Consider the following 22,153-nt stretch of genomic DNA (forward strand, 5'->3'; position numbering starts at 1 on the left):
AAAAGAGAGAGAGAGATAATAATAGACACACAGAAAAAGAGAGACAAAGACATGCAGAAAACAATAGGGAATCAGTTGACAAATGGGGCAGGAACAGAGCAAAGATGGGAAAAGAATGTTCTGGCATCTGAGATGTGCAGCTTAGAATAGAGGCTGCTGCCCCTGGGGCCTCTAAGCTCTGTCACTGCCCTAAAAGGCACTTAGCAGCCTCCGAAATGCCTCCTTTCCCTACCCCCATCATGAATTAAGACCTGAATTTACAACTCCTAGAAAATGTTCCTGTCTGCTGAGGGATCCTGGGGCTCTGCATGGCCCCAGAGGTAATTTGAATCTTCCCAGGCTTTGGCCTGAGTGAGCACCCCTTGTGACAACATTTCAGGGGACCAGGAGGAAAGTGTCCCCGACAACTGTGAAATCCTCTTACTGCTTAAGAGTCAGCCTATAGCCCCAGGTGCAAGACAGACCTCCCCCAACACCATCTGCCACCACTGCACAATCCAGTAGAGACTGTCAGAGCTGGGAGGACCAAGGGACACCTCATGGAGGGGGAGACTGAGGCCTGCAGAGTGCAGGGGCTTTCCCAAGGCCTCAGAGGGAATGGTGTAGGCCAATCATCAAAGGGTTCCTTGCATGCAGACCTGAGAGCCAGGGCACAGGTATTAAGAGGCCCTTGGAGAGGCGGAGGTCCAAGAAAGGAAGGGCTAGGACAACGGCTTCCAGGTCTTGAGGCCACCACCAGGCCTCACCTGCTTCCCGCTGTCCAGCAACCCCCATCCCAGCAGCAACCAACCTGCTCGGGGATAAGGAACCAGAACTTGGACACTGAATCCTGGACACACTCTTATGCACATGCAGCCTTCCAGAACTATTCAGTTCCTACAATCAACCACAGCTCTATTGAAATGCACTGGAAACACTGTGTCTGATCATGAAACCACCAGATGTCATGGCAGGGAAGGGCTTCTGAGAGCAGCACAGAGCAGTGTCAGGGGAAGAATGGAGGACAGGGCAGCCACTCTCCCCGACCCCCAAGTGCCAATCTCCCAGAATTAGAGGCTTTTGGAATGGCTCACAGAATTTGCAGACTCAAAACTACAGTGTGAATAGACAGAAATCCCTGCAATTGCCTGGAGCCACTGGCACCACAGGGTCATTTCCCATGAACTAGTGTGTCCACCAGGCCAGCGTCTAGTGCCCGGTGCTGGAAACAGCTGAACGCAGCCCCTTCATTTCCAACTTGGACCAGGAGGCCCCACAGGGACACAGGGTTAGTCAGAGCTGGGCTGGGACGCTTCTCTCCATCTGCAGCCCTGCTCAGACTCCTCTGTCAGTTCAGTTTGGCCTTATGGCCTCCAGAATCCCCAGCTTTTTTGTTTTTTTAGATGGAGTTTCACTCTTGTTGCCCAGGCTGGAGTGCAATGGCATGATATCGGCTCACCGCAACCTCTGCCTCCCGGATTCAAGCGATTGTCCTGCCTCAGCCTCTCGAGTAGCTGGGATTACAGGCATGTGCCACCTCACCCGGCTAATTTTATATTTTTAGTAGAGATGGGGTTTCTCCATGTTCGTCAGGCTGGTCTCGAACTCCCGACCTCAAGTGATCTGCCTGCCTCGGTCTCCCAAAGTGCTGGGATTACAGGTGTGAGCCACTGCGCCTGTCCTAATCCCCAGCTCTTCTATAAAGGACTTAAAAAGCTGAGCACTGAGAGCCTTAAAAATAAAGCAATGCAGGGAAAACAGGACACGTCACATAATGCAGTTTCCTGTCTTGCTCACTGCCGATGTGGGAGGGGCATGTCATGCCTCCGCGGCACCAGGGCTGGAGCAAAAGCTATATTAGGCACCTTGCGTGCCTTCCTTCCTCCCCTGACACCAGCCAGCAGGCTGCAGGCCAGGCACGGCCCCTCTTGCCTTCCAAGCCTAAGGCAGCTTCTCTATGGGGAGCCAGGCAGTGTGAAAGGGGCACTGGATTAGTCCAGGACCCTCACTAGTCCCTAATGTGTCTACTTAAGGTTAGGCAACTGGAGAAGCAGGTCATGGCAACCACCAGGTGGCTGTGGCTCCAACAAGCCATCACTCACACGCTGGGAGGGCAGCAACAGGAGTCTCTGTCCAGAACCGGGAGACCTCCACTCTCCCTGGGGTCTCCTGGATGCTCCAGGCTATCACCACCACCACCACCACCACCACCACCACCACCACCACCATCATCACCACCACCACCACCACCATCATCATCATCATCATCCTCATCATCCTTCCCAGGATTATTATGGCCCTTTCACAGCCACTTTCACAACAGCACAGTGAGGCCGGGAAGCAGGGATCTCATCTCCGTTTTAAGAGGAGGAACTGAAGCTCACAGCGGTTAGGTGATTCACGCAAAGTTGCACAGCAAGTAAGTGGCAAAGCAGGAACAGGGCTCCCTTGGCTGCCCCAGGACCAGAAACCCCTGGAACTTCAGGACTTCATCATTTCAGAGGACCTTAGTCCTCTGAAGTTCCTGTGTCCTTACCTGGAGCACAAGGAAGTATGACCCTGTTGTGGCTTTTTCTTTTCTTTTTTTTTTTTTTTTTTTGAGACAGGGTCTTGCTCTGTCACCCAGCTTGAGTGCAATGGCACGATCATGGCTCACTGCAACCTTGATTTCCCAGGCTCAAGCAATTCTCCTGCCTCAGCCTCTCAAGTAGTTGGGACTACAGGTGCACACCAGCACACCTGGCTTTTTTTTTTTTTTAATTGTAGAGATTAATTCTTGCTATATTGCCCAGGTTGGTCTCGAACTCCTGGGCTCAAGAAATCCTCCCACTTCTGCCTCCCAAAGTTCTGGGATTACAGGCATGAGCCACCCCGCCCAGTGACCCTGTGGTGGTTTTAAGATATCTCCACACATTCTTTGATACTCCTCCCTTCAAGAGGTGGAGATTAATTCTCCTCCCCTTGAATGTGGGCTGTGCTTAATGACTTGCTTCCAACAAATAGAATAAGGCAGAAGTGATGAGTGTGACTTCAAAACCTAGGACAGAAAAGGTACCCTGGCTTCCTGCCTGCCCTCTATCTCTTGAATGGCTCACTCTAGGCCAGGCCACCTGCCACGTTGTAAGGACTCTTAAGCAGCCTTGGAGAGGCCCAGCCAACAGCCATAAGAGTGCCATCTTGAAAGTGGACCCTCCAGTTTCGTCAAGCCCTCCGATAACTCAGCCCAGGCTGACATCTTGACTGCAGCCTCTTGAGAGACCCTGAGCTAGAACCACCCAGTTAAGCTGCTCCCAGATTTCTAGCCCACAGGAACTGTAAGCTACTGTGTTTGCTGTTATAAAGGGTTAACCTCCTGACCCCTCCCTATGACCATGCAGCTGAAAGGGAGCCCCAGGGTCAGGTGCCCACTCCTGGTTAGAAGCTCTTTCCGAGTGAGAGTCCAGCACGCTGCGGAGAGGCTGGCTGCTTACTCACCTTTCCAGGTCCTGCAGGTGGAGCAGCAGGTACACACTGTGGGAATGGGGTAGGGGCACCATCAGTGACATCCCCCACTGGACAGGAACCAGCCCCGGGCAAACAGGGAGGCCCTGGAGAGGTGTGGGGATCCCAGTGTGTACAATATAGGGATCCCAGGAAGGTGGGTCTCTGTAGAGACACCAAAGTGGGGAAAGAGTCATCTCAGATTCAGTTTCTGCTCAGGTGCAGAAGATACCCTCACCTGGCACACAAAGTCAGTCCTTGCACCCTGCAGCCCTAGGGAAGGCCGGAGACAGAGTCAAAGTTCCCTCTGGAAAATAACTCCAAGCACCCCTGCCCAAAGCCTCCTCCTCTCTTTGCTTTCCAGTTCAGAATGTCCTCCAGGAAACCTCCCCAGACTTACCTCTGAACCCCAAAGTGCTTCGCATCTGGGCATTTGCAAAGGCCTAACTGGCTGCTGCCTTGTACACGCCATTGGTCTTGGTGCACATCTGGGCCTTGGCAATAGAGTAGGTGCTCACTAAATACATGCTCACTGAGTGACTCCAAGTCCATGGAAGGCCAGGATCATTCTTTCAACATTTCTTGTACACTTCCTGGTGTCCAGTGCTAGGCATTCAGCATATGGTATCTGACTACACACCTTCCAGCTCATTCTGCAGGGAGGGCCATGTCAGTCCCTGCCTGCCCTGACCCTTTAAGCAAAGAGGAAAACTCCAGGCAAGAGAGAGGGTCAGGCCAAGTACACTGCCCAGCCCCATCCTGGGTGCTGAAAGCAACAGGAAAGAACTCTCCTTCCCCTTCTCCAACGCCTAGACCCTGTGTCCTCACTGCACATACAGAGGTCTCTGTGTGCCAGGCATGTGGTGAGTATGTTGGGTAGGCATTTACAGAGGGAAGCACAGAACCCTTGTCTGCCTGCCAGGAGCTTGCAGCGCTGAGTGACCGTGCAGGGACAGTCTTTGTGCCCCTTCCTCCCTTCCTCGTTTGTGTGCATCTTCCTCCCTTTTCTCAAGATGCAGGAGGTCACATGGATGTCCCTTCTTGGCTCACAGCAAATGGTCCACACTGGTTCATGGGATCCCCTTCACTTTTTTTTTTTTTTTTAATGAGACAGAGTTTCACTCTTGTTGCCCAGGCTGGAGTGCAATGGCATGATCTCAGCTCACCGCAACCTCTGCCTCCCGGGTTCAAGCAATTCTCCAGCCTCAGCCTCCCGAGTAGCTGGGATTACAGGCACCCGCCTTCACGCCCAGCTAATTTTGTATTTTTAGTAGAGACAGGGTTTCTCTGTGTTGGTCAGGCTGGTCTCAAACTCTCTACCTCAGGTGATCCACCCGCCTTGGCCTCCCAAAGTGCTGGGATTACAGGCGTGAGTCACCGCGCCTGGCAACCCTTTTTATGTGCCTTTACATGACTTTTATTCCCACACCCCACTCACATTCTCCTTCCTCCTCAAGGAGTGTCACTTTTAATATTTTAATGTGCAACTTTTTGTTTGAACATGTTCTTCATATAAACTCCGTATTGTTACTTTGCATGATAGGCATATATTTTTTACATAAATTGTTAGATAAAATCTCATTCTGTTTTGCACTTTTCTTCACCTGGCATCATGCTTTCAAGTTCCACTGTGTGCACCCTTAATCTGTTGCTTCCAGCAGCTGCAGAGAATTCCACGAGGTGCAGCTCCCACCTCTCTCCAGGTTGTCTTCAACCCCTGCCACCTGTCCAGGGTTTGCAAATTCTCTGGTTTGCTCTCCTCACAACCCTAAGACATAGGCTGAATAGGGACTATTCGGTCTTTTTTACAAAGAAGAAAGCCTGAGGGAATCAGGTCTGTCCTCTGTGCCAAGGCCAAATCTATGGTAGCGACTGCCTGGGTTGTTCTGAGAGAAGTTCTGAGGCTGAATTGAGGCTCAGGAGGAAGGAGCATGCCTTGCTGTGCTGCATTTGCTGTGTCTGCACAGGCCCGGCATCACCCAGCCAGGATGAAGTCTAGCCTCTTCCCCTTTTCTGGGGCCCTTTCTGCTACCTGATCTGGCCTGGCATCTGAGGCCCACACTGGGGGCTGAGCTGGGGAGAGTACACCAGCCCGGTATAAATTGGCTTCCTCTGCCAGACTTCCTCCTAGGCATGTTGACCTTACTTCAGGGTATGATAGCCCAAGAGCCTCTGACCCAGGAAATTCTGCCCCATATCCACGCCCCAGGCCATCTTTCACCTGTCTTCCTTTTTTTTTTTTTTTTTTTTTTTTTTTAAAGATGGAGTTTCACTCTTGTTGCCCAGACTGGAGTGCAATGGTGCAATCTCATCTCACTGCAACCTCCGCCTCCCCGATTCAAGCGATTCTCCTGCCTCAGCTACTCCATGAGTAGCTGGGATTACAGGCATGCACCACCACGCCTGGCTAATTTTGTGTTTTTAGTAGAGACGGGGTTTCTCCATGTTGGTCAGGCTGGTCTTGAACTCCCGACCTCTGGTGATCCACCCTCCTCAGCCTCCCAAAGTGCTGGGATTACAGGCGTGAACCACTACACCCAGCTCCTGTCTTCCTTTTTGAGATGGCTTTTATTTTAGGCTCCAGAACAGCTGGAAAGAGCACTACACTGTCCTTGGCCTCCCTGCTGGGTTGCACCTTTCCTCTTTGCCCCCTGTGGTCATAGGTGCGGAGGCCAAGGGGGCCAGCAGTGAGGAGGGCTGGGGCATAATGCAGCACAGCTGGTCCTCTCAGCCTGGGACAGCCAGAACACTCCCCACTGCCTCCCTGGGGCATGGCAGGGGACGTCATCACCTCTGCTCATGGAGAGTGGCAGAGCCAGTGCCAAAGCAAATCATCCCAAATGCTTTTCTACCTGATGCTGGGCTGGGAAGATACTCCAGGCCCAGAAGACACTGCCATCTCCCTGCAGACCCTGCCAGCTTCTTGCATTCCCAGTTCTGAGGCTGCCCTGAATAATTCACCAGGGGAGGTCTAGGCAGGAGGCCTGGATTCTGGGCCTGGGGGCCTCAGCCCAGTGCACAACCTCTCTGAGCCTGCTTCCTCCACTGGGCTCACCTCTAAAATGGCAACACAGACTCTTAGAGGCAAAGGGACGCCAGGGCCACCTAAGCCCGCTTCCTAGCCAAAGCAGGAATCCCTCCCTCGAACCTGACCATCCAGCTTTGGCTTGTGTCCTTCCAATGTCAGGGACCTCACTACCTCCCAAGATGGCCCATTTTGCTCCTGGACACTTGCAGCATGACAATGCGCCTTCTCAGGAGAGACAAATTACAAAAAGAACAATGATAACAGCTACTATGCACTGGCGCCAGGCATGGCCATAAGCACTTTCACATGGCTGGTTTCATTTGAAGCCTCACAACAACTCTACAAAGGGGTGTCATTCCTTGTGTAGATAAGAAATCTAGGGTGCAGAGATGGTAAATAGCTCGCCCGGGTCATGCGGCGAGCAAGTGGCTACCCCCTTCGAACTTCACCCCACTGGTTCTTGCTCTCTGCCCTCTGGGTTTTACTGAATTGAGGCCCCTTTTCCATCTAAGGGGCAGCTTTCATCTGAGGCTTGGTAGATGATGAGCTGATGCAGTGTGGAGATGAGACTTAACTCTGTTTTGTATCCCTATTTCTGGGGCAGTGTCCGGCAGATCAGAAGCTGTAGATGCTTGACAAAGCCTGGATGGTTGATGAGTGAGTGACCATGGGCACTGGCCCCGGAGTCAGAAGGCCACGCTCTACTGCAGCCCAGCATGGGTGACCCTGCACAGTCCCCTTCTCTGGACCTCTGTCTCTTCACCAGTAAAATCACTGGGTTTGACTGAAAGATCCCTGAGGTCATTTCCTGTCTGGCCTTTTGGGATTCCATTCCTGGGGGGGGGTCCCTCGGGGGGTAACCCCTCCCTGAGGTGGCCATCACCCCCACAGCCGAGCCTCCACCTCCCCAACCCTGCCCTGCTTCCAGCAGTGACAGGGTTAAAACATCTCCCAACAGAAAAGCCACAGTCTTAAGACCTGCGAAGGGCCAAGGGGACACTGCTGAGAGGGAGGAAATGGACGGAGCCCTGAGCTGCACTTGGCTCTGAGCATGAGTTGCCATTCCCAGGCAGCCGCAGGCCTCATGCCTTCCTGTTGATGGCTAAGACCCCCGGGCATCAGATGGGGTCTGTCAGGACATGGGGCTTATGGCCAAGGTGTCCCCTGCAGGCTGCATAGTCACAGGTGGCCAGACATCTCTGTTTATAGATTTAAGGGCCACGCAGTCACCAGACAGACATTGTGGACATAGATTCCCACCCTTCTCACCACAGCGAGGCAGAAGTGGTGATCCAGAACCGTCCCCCACCCCCCCACCATCAGTCCTGGGCAGCTGCTGTGCTCAGCCCCTGAGACCCAAGGCCCCTGGCATCCTCCCAAGGAGCAGCCTGGGAAACTGTGTGCCCCCACCCTCCATGAGCCTGAAACCCGTGCTGGTGGATCCGATGTCGGGGGGTCCCAAACACGGCTGCATCTCAATGAAAATCACACTTCTGGGTCTCACCCCAGACCTACTGAAGCCTCTGCGGATGGGCCCAGGACTTTGCATGTTTAACGAGGTCCCCAGGTCAGTCCCAATACCAGCAATCCCACGATGGGCGTGTGACACCAGAGTCAGACATTGGAGGCAGAGGTGTGGTTACTGTAAGGTCCTGGTCACCACAGGAACAAGAACTCAGAGCTAGCATGGCCCTTGGTATGCAGAGGCTGGGGGTGGTGTGAGGTACATGAGAGGTCAGAGATGAGAAGGAGACAGCAGAGTGAGAGAGAGGACAGGCAATATTCAGGCAGGGAAGAGGGCCCGTGAGAGCAGTAAGCCCCGGGTGAGAAGACAACACTTAGGTATCAACAGGTATGCCTCCCCGGAGTCTGAGAAGACAACACAGAAGGCTCCCGGGGCCCAGGTCCAGTTGTGCCTGCTGCCTCCAGGCTTTGCCTAGACACTAGCCCCCAACTACCCCCAATTCCCCAGACAATCATATGGAGGAAAGGGGACCCTTTGGTGCAGGTGACCTAGCCCTGTCCCTGATCAGTCACCAGGCTGGTTTCCTGGCCGGGCCTGAGGGGTGCTCCGCCCCTTGGCTGACCTGGCATGATCTGATGGACACCCCGTTGGTGGCAGGTCCGTGGGGCCAGGGCCAGGCTGCATGCCACACTGCGGACTGGGCCTCTCTCAATGAAAGCGAGGCCCAAGGAGTGGGAAAGAGGGGAAGTAAAGTGACACCTACCTGAGCTGCTAGCGCTCTCAGAAGCACTCCTGGACATCTTAGGCTGGCCGTGTTTGCCGCTGGCCCGCCCAGACCCCGGTGGTGGGGGGCCCGAGGGAGCAGGGGCGCCGTCTCCCCTGATGGTGGTGAGGTCCTGCATGCTGAAGCTCCGCAGTCTCTCCGATAAGGCACCCTGTCCCTGGATACAACACAGGAGGGGCACACGTCAGAGGTCCTGCTCCACAGGTCACACTCGACAAAGGCCAAGAGGGAGCTCTGATGGTCAGCCAGGTGGAAATCAAGACCTGGATCAACTCTGAGGCGCAGGTGCCCAGACATAGCTGCTGGAAACACAGAGAGGGTCAAATCCCGGAATTTTCCAGGGCCTCCTCTGGGGCTCAGTAATTGCTCCTTTGGCTCCAGGATCCCTCCCTACCCTCAGACACCACTATGATGATACGATGATACGATGATGATCCGGAGCCTCAGACAGACCCAGGGCCAAGGGCGTGACTACTGCCTGCAGCTCCTACTCCTTCCAGGCCACCTGCTGCTTCTCTTGCTTTGCATAAATAAAAATCCACATGTATCTCCATTTTTCTCAGTACATGAGAATCTGGTCAGGCAATCAAAACCTAATATTCTATGTGCTTGGTTCTTATTATTTTCAAAGGACACAAAATACAGACAATATTTTTCTAAATGTTTGACAACAGAAATTTCTTTTATTTGTATAGCATATTACTGTCTACGAGGCACATTTACTTCTGCTGGTGCATTTCAGCTTCATAAAATACCCAAAAGGTAATGAATCAGAAAGGAAAAAAATGATTTAAAAAAACCCTGCTGATTGTAACCATTTCATATTCTGAGGGAGACAGAGAATTAATCTCGGGGGGAATTGTTCTTTTATTTAGAAAGCAAGATCAATCCATTTTACTTACGAAAGAGCAGCTCCTCACTGTCTGGATGAGAGAATGTGTCAGAGTGAAAATGATCACAGTGAAGGCTCAGGGATGGTGGCATTGCTTTAAGTGTGCCTCAGGGGCTGCAGAGAGAGGTTATGGAAACCTGAGAGTGGGAGGAGACTGGGGAAATTGAGAATCGGCTAGGATTTGGAGCAAGAAGTGACAGGCAAGTAACTACCAGGCAAATGAATGAACTCAGACATCTTCAGAAAGAAGAAAGCCTGGAGGGTGTGCAGGGTTCCCTCGGGTGCATGGCACTGCAGTGGCATGGGAGAGGTTTTCTATGCCACTTGGATAATGAAGGAAAGAGTGGTCCCAGAGATCTGGGGGACAGGGGGACAATACTGCACAACAGACATAACAGAACCAACAAATCAGCACAAAATCAATTCAAGCCGCTGACAAGAGGGCTGCTGGTGGGATTGATGAAATAAGCAAGGGCCAAAACAGTTGAGTAAGAGGTTTTCAGGGGTGAGAGAAGGGTTTGGAAGATTTTTTTCATTTTACTTAATATAAAAAATAATGAAAATGAACCAACAAAGCACAGCAATTCGCTGAAGTGAAAAATCCAGATAGGATCAAGGAGCAGACGCAAAATGAGTTCATTAGAGGGGAGGGGGAAAAAAAGGGGCTTGCAGTCAGGTTTAGAAGAAACGCCAGAAGAGGGCAGGCGTGGTGGCTCATGCCTGTAATCCCAGTACTTTGGGAGGCTGAGGCAGGAGGATTGCTTGAGTCCAGGAGTTCGAGACCAGCCTGGGCAACAAGCGAGACCCTGTATCTACAAAAAATTTTAAAAACTAGCTGGGCATGGTGGTATATGTCTGTAGTTCCGGCTACTCGGGACACTGAGGTGGGAGGACCGCCTGAGCCCAAGAGGTAGAGCCTGCAGTGAGCCGGGATCATACCACTGCACTCTAGTCTGGGCAACAGAGTGAGGCCCTGTCTCAAAAAAATAAAAAGAAAGAAAGAAGTGCCAGACTAAAAGCAAGATGCACTAAAATATGAACTAGATCTGTTCCCAACCTACCAAAGATATAAAAACCATGTCACCAGGAAACCAACAACAATAACACAAAGAAAACTATTTAAAAAGAATTGTAAGTCCAGGCCAAGAAGTATTTGGAGGATATTATATGAAAAAAGACAGAAATCACCCTGGTTGCCTCAGACACTGCTCTAGAGTGATGGTTGGGCAAGGGTCCAAGGTCTCACGTCCTTGGCAGGAACAGCTGGGTGGTCTCTGCCAGCAAAATGGAGGCTGGACCAGCCAGACACCCATTATATAACCCCTTCAAATATAGCAGCCAATGATCCATGATTATTTTACGCAGAAACATTCTAGGCAGCATCTAGAATTTAGAAGAAATTTGATGACTAAGGAACAAAACTTGATTCTGAAATGAGTGAGAAAATATTCTGCTAATTATAAGTGAGTAACTCAATGTTAGGTTAGTGTTCAAGCAAACTGTTCACTGACTCACTCTTTCATTCATCCTCTCATTTCTTCGTTTACTTTACTTGTTCAACAATTACCAAGTACTTTTTATGGGCAAGAACATGGTGCTAGGTGCTAACATGAAACACCAAAAATACAGTTTGATTTCTGAGAAAGCGGAGAACGACAAATGTACAGATACAACACAGAAGTATCCTAGCAGAAGCTACAGAAAGTGAAGATTGAGAACAGCAGTTCTTGAGTCAGGCCTTGATTCAAATTCCAGCCCTGTCATTCAACAGCTGAGTGATCTTAACCTCTCTCCACCTCAAGACCTTCATTTGCAGAAGAGGATCCAAATGGCCGGCTGCTCGTGCGGATTCAATGAGATTACATCCTTAAGATACCCATCACATAGCCCATTGCATATTTAGTCTTCAAAAATGTCAACTATGATGATAATGATGTTGATGCTGTGGCTACTGCCTAAGATACAAAGGTTGCTATTGAAAGCTATTGAAAGCTGCCTAAGACACAAAGGTTGCTATTGAAAGCAGAGGTGGAAAAGGTCACTTCCTAAGCTTCATGACCCCAAGCCCAAATAAACGGCCAGGGACGAATTCCCTCAACACAGTTTGCCAGTTCTTGCTCATTGTCGCTCAGCAACATATGTGAGAGAAAGCAACAGCAGGCATCGTACACGTTCATTTTAGCAAAGTGCTCCATTCAACTCCCAGAAGCCAGCCAGTCTAGCTCCAATATCACACTGGCAGTGGCAGAGGTTAGGAAAGAGAGGGAGATAATAATAGCTCAGTATCAACCTAGGCCTGTGTCAGAGGAAATTATAGTGGCATAGATACAAGACTCCTGAAAACAAATTAGCCCTTGCCCATCAAAACACTCTGAGATGGTTAAAATCAGTATGCCTGACCGGGCGCGGTGGTTCACGCCTGTAATCCCAGCACTTTGGGAGGCCGAGGCAGGTGGATCACTTGAGGTCAGGAGTTTGAGACCAGGCTGACCAACATGGTGAAACCCCATCTCTACTAAAAATATAAAATTAGCCAGGCGTGGTGGTGCACGCCTGTAATCTCAGCTACTTGGGAGGCTGAGGCAGGAGAATCTTTTGAACCCGGGAGGTGGAGGTTGCAGTGAGCCAAGATCATGCCATTGCACTCCAGCCTGGGCAACAAGAGCAAAAACTTCATCTCAAAAAAAAAAAAAATCAACATGCCTCTCTCTTTTGTAAACCTTTCAGCCCTTCTCAGTCTCTACACAAAATCTCATTCCTATTCACTTTCCACAAACCCCATTCCACACTGTCTGTTCAGCTCCGCTCTGCAGAATCTTTGTTATTCTAGACCATTGTCTTCTGGGAAGAACCACGAGTTGTTCATTGGTATTCTGCAAAATTGGTTTCCCTACTTTGGGGAAATAAATTTGGATTCTCTAAATTTGGAAAGCATTAATACCATATTCCCCATAATTCCATGAGCCACATTATCATACTAAAAGCTCTGAGAAGGCCCATCTGGTGGTGCATGCCTGCAATCCCAGCACTTTGGAGGATGAGGGGGGAGGATTTCTGGAGCCCAGGAGTTCAAGACCAGCCCGGGCAACATAGGTAGATCCCGTTTCTATTTTTAAAATTTAAAAAGACATCGCTAAGTCACCAGAATAATAATGACAACACCCACCTACTCCTAGACTTCTTGAAAATGATTTTCATCAATTTTTTTTTTTTTTTCGAGATGGAGTCTCACTCTGTCGCCCAGGCTGGAGTGCAGTGGTGCAATCTCGGCTCACTGCAACTCCGCCTCCCGCGTTCACGCATTCTCTTGCCTCAACCTCCAGAGTAGCTGGGACAACAGGTGCCCGCCACCACGCCTGGCTAATTTTTTGTATTTTTAGTAGAGACGGGGTTTCACCGTGTTAGCCAGGATGGTCTCGATCTCCTGACCTCGTAATCCGCCCGCCTTGGCCTCCCAAAGTGCTGGGATTACAGGCGTGAGCCACCGCGCCCAGCAGATTTTCATCAATTTTAAGACGTATTTTTCATCTCTGAAATTGGGGTGGGTCTTACAATTGCTGCCGCCCTGACATCATTGTCAACGCCTACACATAGATATACTTGGTTGTTATTCTCCCTGGCATAACTGGACAACTGAAGCCCCTGAGTGTTTAATTAACAAACCATTTAAGAACTGTTTGAGAAAGGAATATGAATCTCAGTTGTCTAACACATATCTCACTGACACTTTCTGGTATGATCAAGAAAGTGGCAGCATCAAAACTGGCATGAATGAAAATCCCAGAAACAACAGCTCGACATCACCCAACACACTAGAAGGAACAGAGAATGATATGGCATGGTCATAAGTGGATACTGACACGCCGAGCTGAAAAGTGATTCGGGAGACTCTGAAAGTGAAAAAGTGAGGTTAGAGAGATCTTAACCACTTATTGTGCTAATGCGTTCCTTTTTATTTTCTTTCTCTCTTTTTGTTTTTTCTGTTGTTGTTGTTGTTTGTTTGAGATGGAGTTTCACTCTTGTCAGCCAGGCTGGAGTGCAATGGCACAATCTTGGCTCACTGCAACCTCTGCCTCCCAGGTTCAAAAGATTCTTCTGTCTCAGACTCCTGAGTAGCTGGGATCACAGGTGGCCACCACCACGCCCGGCTAATTTTTGTATTTTTAGTAGAGACGGGGTTTCACCTTATTGGTCAGGCTGGTCTCGAACTCCTGACCTCAGGTGATCCACCCACCTTGGTCTCCCAAAGTGCTGGAACAGGTGTGAGCCACCGTGCCCAGCTGTGTTCCTTTTAATGTATTTATAAAAGTGACAAAAAAAAGATGTCTAAGAGTCTTTTTGATAAGAAGAAATAAACATTCTGGCTGGGCGCAGTGGCTCATGCCTGTAATCCCAGCACTTTGGAAGGCCAAGGTGAGTGGATCACCTGAGGTCGGGAGTTTGAGACCAGCCTGTCCAACATGGAGAAACTCCATCTCTACTAAAAATACAAAATTAGCCAGGCATGGTGGTGCATGCCTATAATCCCAGCTACTCTGGAGGCTGAGGCAGGAGAATCGCTTGAACCCGGGAGGCAGAGGTTGAGGTGAGCCGAGATCGTGCCATTGCACTCCAGCCTGGACAACAAGAGCAAAACTCTGTCTCAAAAATAGTAATAATAAATAAATAAATAAACATTCTAAGTGAAAAAACATTGTGTCCTAATTTAATTGGCAATATTATCTTTCTTAGTGGAACATAAGATAATGATGTGTCTCAGAAACCACAGCTTTTTAGATTCAATGAAATATGGTTGCACTTCTCAGAGCAGCTTTCTCTACTCATCCCAGTTCCCTGTAAATGCTGTCACTACAGCCTTTGAGCTGTACTTCTCTCTTGTACTCCACACAATGATATTTAAATATTGCTATTGTCTGTTTTATTCACTATTGCAGCCTTGGCATCTGCCACTCTACTTGATACATATTTGGGGTTAAGGAGTTGCATGAATGAACGTATGACCATTTATGGAGCTGCCGCCTGGGTGAAGCGTGACAGTGGGAAATCCCCACCTCAGCCTGATGCATCAGCCAGGGTCCCAGACCTGAAAGAGGATCCTGCTGAACAAGCCTTGAGATGTGTCTGCAAGGAGCGTATAAGAAGTGTCAGAGGGCTGTGGGTGCACAGGGCAGAAGGCACACATCAGAGAGGCAAGGCATCCCAGAGGAGACTGCGCTTGAACTTGGGTGGGTGGAGGACTTGGGTAGGTGAAGATAGAAACCAGGTAGAAAAAGAAGGAATGTGTGTTAGTATTTGTCACCACTGAGAGCGGCCACTTCAATCCACCCCAAGTGAGGTCTTTGTAGTTTTGTGTGCTAAGGGGATGGGGGTCCACTTATACCTTGTTCATGGCCAGGGATGTATCTGAATAGCGGAAATGCCTGCAGAAAGGCTACGTGGTTTCTTCGTAAACAACCATGCCAGTAGAAGGCAGGGGTAAGAGTAAGACTTACTCTTCACTGGACACTCTCTTTTGTCCTTTTATAATTCTGCACCAAGAACATGCATTACCTTTAAAAAATCAGTACAATTTAATTTTCAGTAACACCCACAGCACTCACTCAAGGTCACCCTGAGGACCTCATTTTGTGAATATACAGTGTGCATGATGCTGACCAATGCCATCTAGACCAAAAAAAAAAAAAAAAAAAAAAAAAGACATAGGAGTAATTAAAACAGCAATAACAGCAACACAGAACTAAGAAGGAGCACATGGTATCTCCAGAAACCGAATGAGTGTTGAGCCCTTAATGAGGTCCTCTTTTCCAGAGGGACACACCAAGTCACAGGGGAAGGCTCCAGCAAAGCACGAAGTTTAGCCCATCTCACTTGACACAATATCTAATGCCTGCTACTGAGGACAACAACAATAAAGACAAAGGGTTTTAGTGAGTCAGGAAATTGATAACAAAGCCACCAGCACAACCGCATTTCCCACCAGTAATTCAGAAGGAGTTAGTACTTCCTTCCAAACCCCATGGGGTGCCCGCCTCACTGGTGGAGTGAGCCTCCACAGCCATACATGCGCCACATCCAAGCCAAGCAGGCTCCCAATGACATGCTGCATGAGGACCAGGCCCTTGTCTGTGACACAAAATGGGATTAACAAACCAAACAGAGAAGGAGAATTTCTACTGCAATAGCATCCATCATCAAATTCAATCCATTCTCCAGGCATTAAACAAAGAAAAGAAAAAACCCAAGTAAGTTAATCACATGTTAGATGCTACCAAATTCACACCATAAGAGTCTCTGGAAAGACGATGAAGTGGGGCCTGGCTCCGTGTGCCCCACATGGATTAACACACATGCACACGCAGGTGCCGAGGCAGGGGGGACACCTGCCTCTGATCCAGACCACGTGCTGGTGAGCAGAGCCGGTGGCCTGGCCTCGCTGCCCAACTGGATCAGTTTGGAGTTAGTCACACCTCTCAACAGGGTTACCTGCCCTTCTCTCAGGTCCAAAGAGAAGATAAAATGAAAGAGTCGAGCCACCTGATAAAGGGGAAAAGGAGAAAAAAGCCATGGGCACCAAGGCAATAAAATGGAGTTGAAGGGAGCCATGTCCTCACCTCTTTCCTCCCATCACTCCCTCGCTCGCTCACCCATTTATTCACTCACTTGCAACAGATGCTGCTGGAGTGTTCACGAAGCTCTGCGTGAAGCACCGCAGAGGAACAAAGACGAGGATGGTACGGTCCCTGCTCCCATGGAGCTCACAGTCTAGTTGGGGCATCAAGACACAAAAGTGCATGCCAGGCCACAAGTGACAAAGATGACCAACATCATGCCAGAGTACAGGGCAGGGGATGGCACCGTCACCGTGGCTGAGCACGTGCAGAGGCCTCATCCTCTCACACAAGGGGTCGAACCCGAGTGAGGAGTGAGGTGAGGGCTGCATCCTCTGAAGCGGGCGGGGGAAGGCACGTGCTGGCGGGGAAGTGCTTTGGGCCAGGGCGTGAGAGTGGACGAAAACCCAAGGTGCACCTGGGAAACGGTGAGTGAACCCACCTGGGGAGAAGAGGCTTTGGTGCCAGTGAGTAAAAGGAGACCAGCCTGGGAGAACTGGGCTTCAGCTGCCTAAACTTGGTTTTTGACAATAAACTGAGCACTCCACTGAAGGTTTTTGAGAGGTGAGCAGTGTGAAGGAGGCAGGATGTTGAATGATGAGAACATCCTAGATATGCCACGTGGCACATACCAAGAACTTGCACCCAGTATCTGTTCTCCCCATTTCTCTCACTTTGCAGCAGGCACGTGGTTATCTGGAATACAGACGGTATTTTCTAGTCTCCTTTCTGGGAAGTGCCCTTAAGGAGAGACAGCAGGCAAGAACAAGCATTAACTGGTGAGGGAGGTGGGCTTGGTGCTTCTGGTTCAGAGCAGGCTGGATGGGAGGTGAGGAGTGGAAGCCTGGGAGGTTAGACAGGCCTGTGCTGACCAATGACAGTGCTCAGGTGAGTTGGGTCTCTGTAGCCAGACCAAGCCCGGCCATCTGAGCCAGGCCCTTGCCCGGTGATGGGGAGTCAGGGCCACCAGGAGGGACCCTCCACATACAGCAGCTGCCCCTGGCCTTGCCTGTGGAAGTCTCAGCTGGAAGCTTTGCCTCATCTATACTTCCTCCTTCAGAGGCAAAGGCCCTGCTGGAAAGGGACAATGAGAAGGCAGGAAGGACTAAGGGTGGGAAGGGGGACCCACAGGACAAATCTGCCCAGCCGCTGGTGCAAAGTGAGCTCTAATTATACTGGTGTGCAAACATGCCCACGCTATCGCACGTGATCGAGCTTTACAGAAACTGTGACTTACGGTGACAGGTACTTGTGATCCTCATTCTTTCACCCTGCATTAAGTGTTTCCCAGCCTCACCACAAGGCCAAGAGAGAGCTGATCGATCATCAGAAGAGCAGTACCCTGGGGTGTGAGAGACTCTAAAATCCTCAGTGAGGGACAGTCCAGGTACTCAGCCACCAGGGCCTGGTAGTGTAATCCAAGCACAAAACAGCCAGGAAGTGTCAGTTTAGGGTGTATGTGTTGGGGTGGGGAGTGCTTGGAGTGATGCAAGGACACTGGAGGAACTAGAGACCCTGGTGCCGATCACAGCTCAACAACTAACAGCTGCATGACCTTGGGCAAGTCACTCAAACCCCTGCTTGGTTTCCTCCCTGAAGTGAGGGTTCCAGCTGCTCCAGCAGCCCACGTTTGACCTTCCTCCTGTCTTGGCAGGTGGCAGGTGCTCATGTGTCATAAGCTACACCTCAGGGTGGAAGAGGAAGAAGAAGCACCCCTATGAAAAGTCAGGCCCAGAACAGTGGGGAACCCTGAGCCCAGGGGAGCGTGGCTTGCGCAGGAAGACACAGCACATGCGAGGTGGGCCAGGACAAGGCAGGCAAGTCAGCCTCCTGTGCAGAAGAGCCTGCCTTGTAAATAACGTCCCAATGCCAGGGCCTGACTTTTTTTTTTTTATTCTGTTCAACAGTGAGGAAAGAGAAGATCATAATCAGCCTGAGATCAAACTGACATATGAGCAAATAACAGGCAACCTTTATTAAACATTTATTATAAACTCTGCATTCTGTGAAGTCTTTACACTGCCTCATAACTCCTGTGGCAGGTACTATGATCATCCCTGTTTGCAGGTGAAGAAGCGAGGTTCACAGAGGTGCAGCAGTAAGCAGGGAGCTGGGACTTTTAAACCTGGTCTGCTTATCTCCAAAGCCCAACTTTGGATATCCTTGATTCTAAGTATTGCTCTGTTGGTCATGGCAGCTAAAAATATGCACAACAGTCTTTCATTCCTTTAACATTTACTGAGCACCTATGGAGATGCAGGTAAGACACATATACATGATGACATTAGTGCAGAGGACCCAGGAGTGAGAGGCCAGTTCTACCTGGGATCAGAGGAGGCTTCATGGAGGAGACGGCATTAACCTGGAGGAGATGGCATTAACCTGGAAGAGTGGGGAGGATTTCAAAGAGGTAGAAACAGAGGCAGATGAAGCACCAACATGAGCAAAGGCAGAGGCAAGAAAGAGAAAATTCTGGAAACAGCGCTCAGAGTTGCTATTTCCAGAACAGTACAGAAGGCAGTTCTGTGAATGCAGTTATCACAAGAGCCAGAGAGGTAAGGAGAGACAAGACTGAAAGGCTAGGATCAGGGTCGGACTGTACAGGACTTAAACAGGAAGGGAGAGAGCAGTCGACCATTTGGGTAGCTACTGCAAGAGTCCAAGCTAGAAGGAAGGGTGTGGAGGAAGGCCCAAATGCAGAGAAGGGATGTCAAATGGTTAGGGCTTGAAGAGTAAGTGGGAGGAAGGTGGGGCATCAAAGGTGACAGAGATTTGGAGCTTGGGTGCCTGACAAGATGGTAATTTCATTATCATCAGAATGGTGGGACACACGGAAGGGCAGATTTGGAGTTACAGGACTGTCAACTAAAGTATGAAGGAAACAAGGGAGATATTCAGCAGAGAACCAGGAACACTTGGATTGAGCCCTGGGCAGAGAAGCCCATCTGGGAACCAGGTCATCAGGTGACAGCGGAAGGTGAGGGACAGGATGAGATGGTGCTAGGAGAGAGAGGAGAGAAAGGTGGGGCCCAGAGAAATTCATCTAACACTGAGGCGTGAGGAAAGGAGGGAGGAGGCAAACATGAGAGGGGAATCAGAGAGAAGAGGAGAACGAGGAGGTGCCATGTCACCACAGCCAAGAGACAGCCCTTCCCACTCACGCATGATCCTCAAATATTTCCTCAGACCTCTAGGTTCCACCAGGCCCTGTGAGGTCAGGCAGGCAGGCTTCCCTCTTTCCTCTTGGACCCTTGAGGCATCAGGCTGCACAATCTCCACAGGTAGCCACAGAACAGAGCAGGTAAGTAATGTCGGACCGCCAACTCCGTGTGAATTCCTGGCCCTTCCTCTTCAGCTGAGTGTGATGTGGGTGTTTCATTCATTTGAATCCACTTCACTATGCATGGAGCAGTGTGAGGTGAGGTAACACTCCAGGTAGAAACACTGGGAGAGCCGGAATCCAGCACACTGGTAAAAAGTCTTGCTTGGTTCTGCTTCGACACATTTTGAGAGTGAAACTTGGGTACGAGTTGACTAATATTTGGGAGACTGGAGGGTAGGGAATACTTCCAAACTTTTTCAGCAGTTTGTCCATACAGTTTAGATAATCTTGGTGTTTAAAAATGGTTGCCGTGGTGAATTCTAAATATTAACTTCATGTCACATAGTCCTTGGCTAAAAAATGAAGAAAGAAGGCTAACTTGATGTGAGCTAGCACAGTGGCCAGGAAATGCTCCTCTGAGGGATGAAGAGACAAACATAGGGCTTTCTGGAATCCTTACCCTCTTTGATTCAATAGATGGTAGAGACTAAAGCCAGAGAGGTGAAACATACAGATCTGGTTAGGGGACAGCAGTCATCTCTTCTCCGTCCTTGGAAATATCTCCTAAGTATGAGCTGACACAGGGAGGTTTTATAAAAAGAAAATCAATGCCTGCCCTCTGACTAATTGTTAACAGGTAGTTTTTTTTGCTAGAAAGCAAAACAAAGGCAAGGCAACTGACTCCAGTCAGGTCAGAAACCCCAAATCACTGGGCTTATGAACTTCCTCAAATGAGCTTTTGATTCCAAAAATAGTTTCATGGTGATTTAAAAGCAGTATTTTATTCAAGCCAGACATTTAGATAGAGCACTGATGGATAAAAGATAAGGATATGTGGGAGAGGGCTTTTTTTTTTCTATTGTGCTGACTGTTTTGTAGATCTTCTTTTTCTTTTTAAGGAAAGAGTGGGAAAATTTTTTTTAAGTAGAAAAACAAAATAATATAACTCTCAGTGGATTGTGCCTGGCTGTTCAGATGCTAAGGGCTATAACCAACGCTTGGCTATCGCCTGTTGGCCGCTGACTATAATTGCAGGCCAAGTGCCTGAGTTTTAGAGAGCAAGTCAGGAAAGCAGAGGTCATGGTGTGAAAGCGGGCCAGACCAGTAAAGAGGAAGAAGAAATAAGAGCTACAGCATGGGTGCTGCTATAGGCTGAGTTTCCAGCTCCTGGTGAACCTTATATACAGAGGCCCCAAGGAGCTGAGTAGGTAAGGAGGGGTGGGTGTCCTTTTGAAGCCAGAGCAACTGTGGGCAAAGGGGTGAAAAACAGGCAAAGGAGAACCCTGGAGGGTTAACAAAGGGCTTGGGGCAGTGCTGTCCAAAAGAACTTTCTTCAATAATGGAAATGTGCTATCAGCCATACTGGCAAATGAGGACTTGAAATGGGGCTAGTACAGCCAGGTGCGGTGGCTCATGCCTGTTATCCCAGCACTTTGGGAGGCTGAGGCCTGCAGATCACCTGAGGTCAGGAGTTCAAGACCAGCCTGGCCAACATGGCGAAACCCTGTCTCTACTAAACAATACAAAAACTAGCCAGGCGTGGGGGCAGGCACCTGTAATCCCAGCTACTCGGGAGGCTGAGGCAGGGAGAATTGCTTGAACCTGGGAGGCAGAGGTTGCAGTGAGCTGAGATTGTGCCACTGCACTCCAGCCTGGGCAAGAGTGAGACACCGTCTCAAAAACAAAGGGGGTGGGGGGCTAGTACAACTGAGGAATTCAATTTTAGGTATACTGTTGGGAAAAGGGCTTGTGGGGTGCCTGTATAAACTGGCCACAAAAATATGGGACAATAAGTTGTGGAAAGCCACAAGAGGCCTCTAAGGAGGAAAGCCTCCTAACTGCCATCATGTTCCCATGCTCAGAGCGAGACCTGCTCTCTTATCTGTAAACACTGTGTTCAAGGAGAAGGACACTCCTTTGAAACACTGGAATGTGGACAGACGTGCAGGCTCCTGGTTAAGCCCGCTCCCACTAGCTACTCTCCGATAAGTTAAAGATATGCTGTTTGAGCACAAAGGAGATTCATTTAAACCACTACTGCTATAGATTGCACCTATGACGCACTGCCTCCTTTTCACTGTTTTGCCCTGAACATCTGCTTCTTAGATCTAAGTGATTGTACTCAATAAATAGTGTGGAGACCAGAACTCTGGGCCTTTTGCAGCCTCCATTTTGCAACTGGCCCCCTGGCTCCCACCTTTAGGAACTCTTAACCTGTCTCTTCTCATTCCTTTGTCGCCACCGGACTTCAGCTACCCTATGGGTGGTGTTGAGGCTGGTCCCCAACATATACTCAATTTTTTTTTTTTTTTTTTGAGACAGAGTCTCACTCCGTCTCCCAGGCTGGAGTGCAGTGGTGCTATCTTGGCTCACTGCAAGCTCCGCCTCCCTGGTTCACGCCATTCTCCTGCCTCAGCCTCCCGAGTAGCTGGGACTACAGGCGCCCGCCACCACGCCCGGCTAATTTTTTGTATTTTTAGTAGAGACGGGGTTTCACCATGTTAGCCAGGATGGTCTCGATCTCCTGACCTCGTGATCCGCCCGCCTTGGCCTCCCAAAGTGCTGGGATTACAGGCATGAGCCATTGTGCCCAGC

General features: G+C 49.8%; 1 protein-coding gene across 16 annotated transcripts in view, besides 2 other annotated features; it reads right to left on the bottom strand.

Annotated features, from left to right (window-relative positions):
- The window catches only part of REEP1 (receptor accessory protein 1), a 124,091-nt gene that overhangs the window by 9,917 nt on the left and 92,021 nt on the right, over nucleotides 1-22,153 (bottom strand). For 8 of the 16 annotated variants that reach the window (NM_001164730.2, NM_001164731.2, NM_001164732.2 and 5 more), the window contains one exon: nucleotides 8,716-8,893. The exons of 1 other annotated variant lie outside the window; for it this stretch is intronic. In NM_001164730.2, coding sequence (NP_001158202.1) covers nucleotides 8,716-8,893 — 178 coding nt within the window. Of the gene's footprint in view, nucleotides 1-3,453; nucleotides 3,490-8,715; nucleotides 8,894-22,153 lie in introns of all 16 variants that reach the window. 7 more of the 16 variants (NM_001410856.1, NM_001371279.1, XM_017004726.2 and 4 more) reach the window with 1 other exon arrangement.
- Nucleotides 6,803-7,461: an enhancer, noted in NCBI's record as "H3K27ac-H3K4me1 hESC enhancer chr2:86457835-86458493 (GRCh37/hg19 assembly coordinates)". NCBI's record gives its function as "activates a minimal SCP1, AML or CMV promoter by ChIP-STARR-seq in primed H9 embryonic stem cells {active_cell/tissue: H9 hESC(primed)}" and the evidence as "EXISTENCE:reporter gene assay evidence [ECO:0000049][PMID:30033119]".
- Nucleotides 11,557-11,851: a silencer, noted in NCBI's record as "tiled region #10790; HepG2 Repressive DNase matched - State 8:EnhW". NCBI's record gives its function as "represses a minimal TATA promoter and a strong SV40 promoter by Sharpr-MPRA in HepG2 cells {active_cell/tissue: HepG2}" and the evidence as "EXISTENCE:reporter gene assay evidence [ECO:0000049][PMID:27701403]".

Source organism: Homo sapiens, chromosome 2 (genome assembly GCF_000001405.40).
Source record: "Homo sapiens chromosome 2, GRCh38.p14 Primary Assembly".
NCBI lineage: Eukaryota > Metazoa > Chordata > Mammalia > Primates > Hominidae > Homo > Homo sapiens.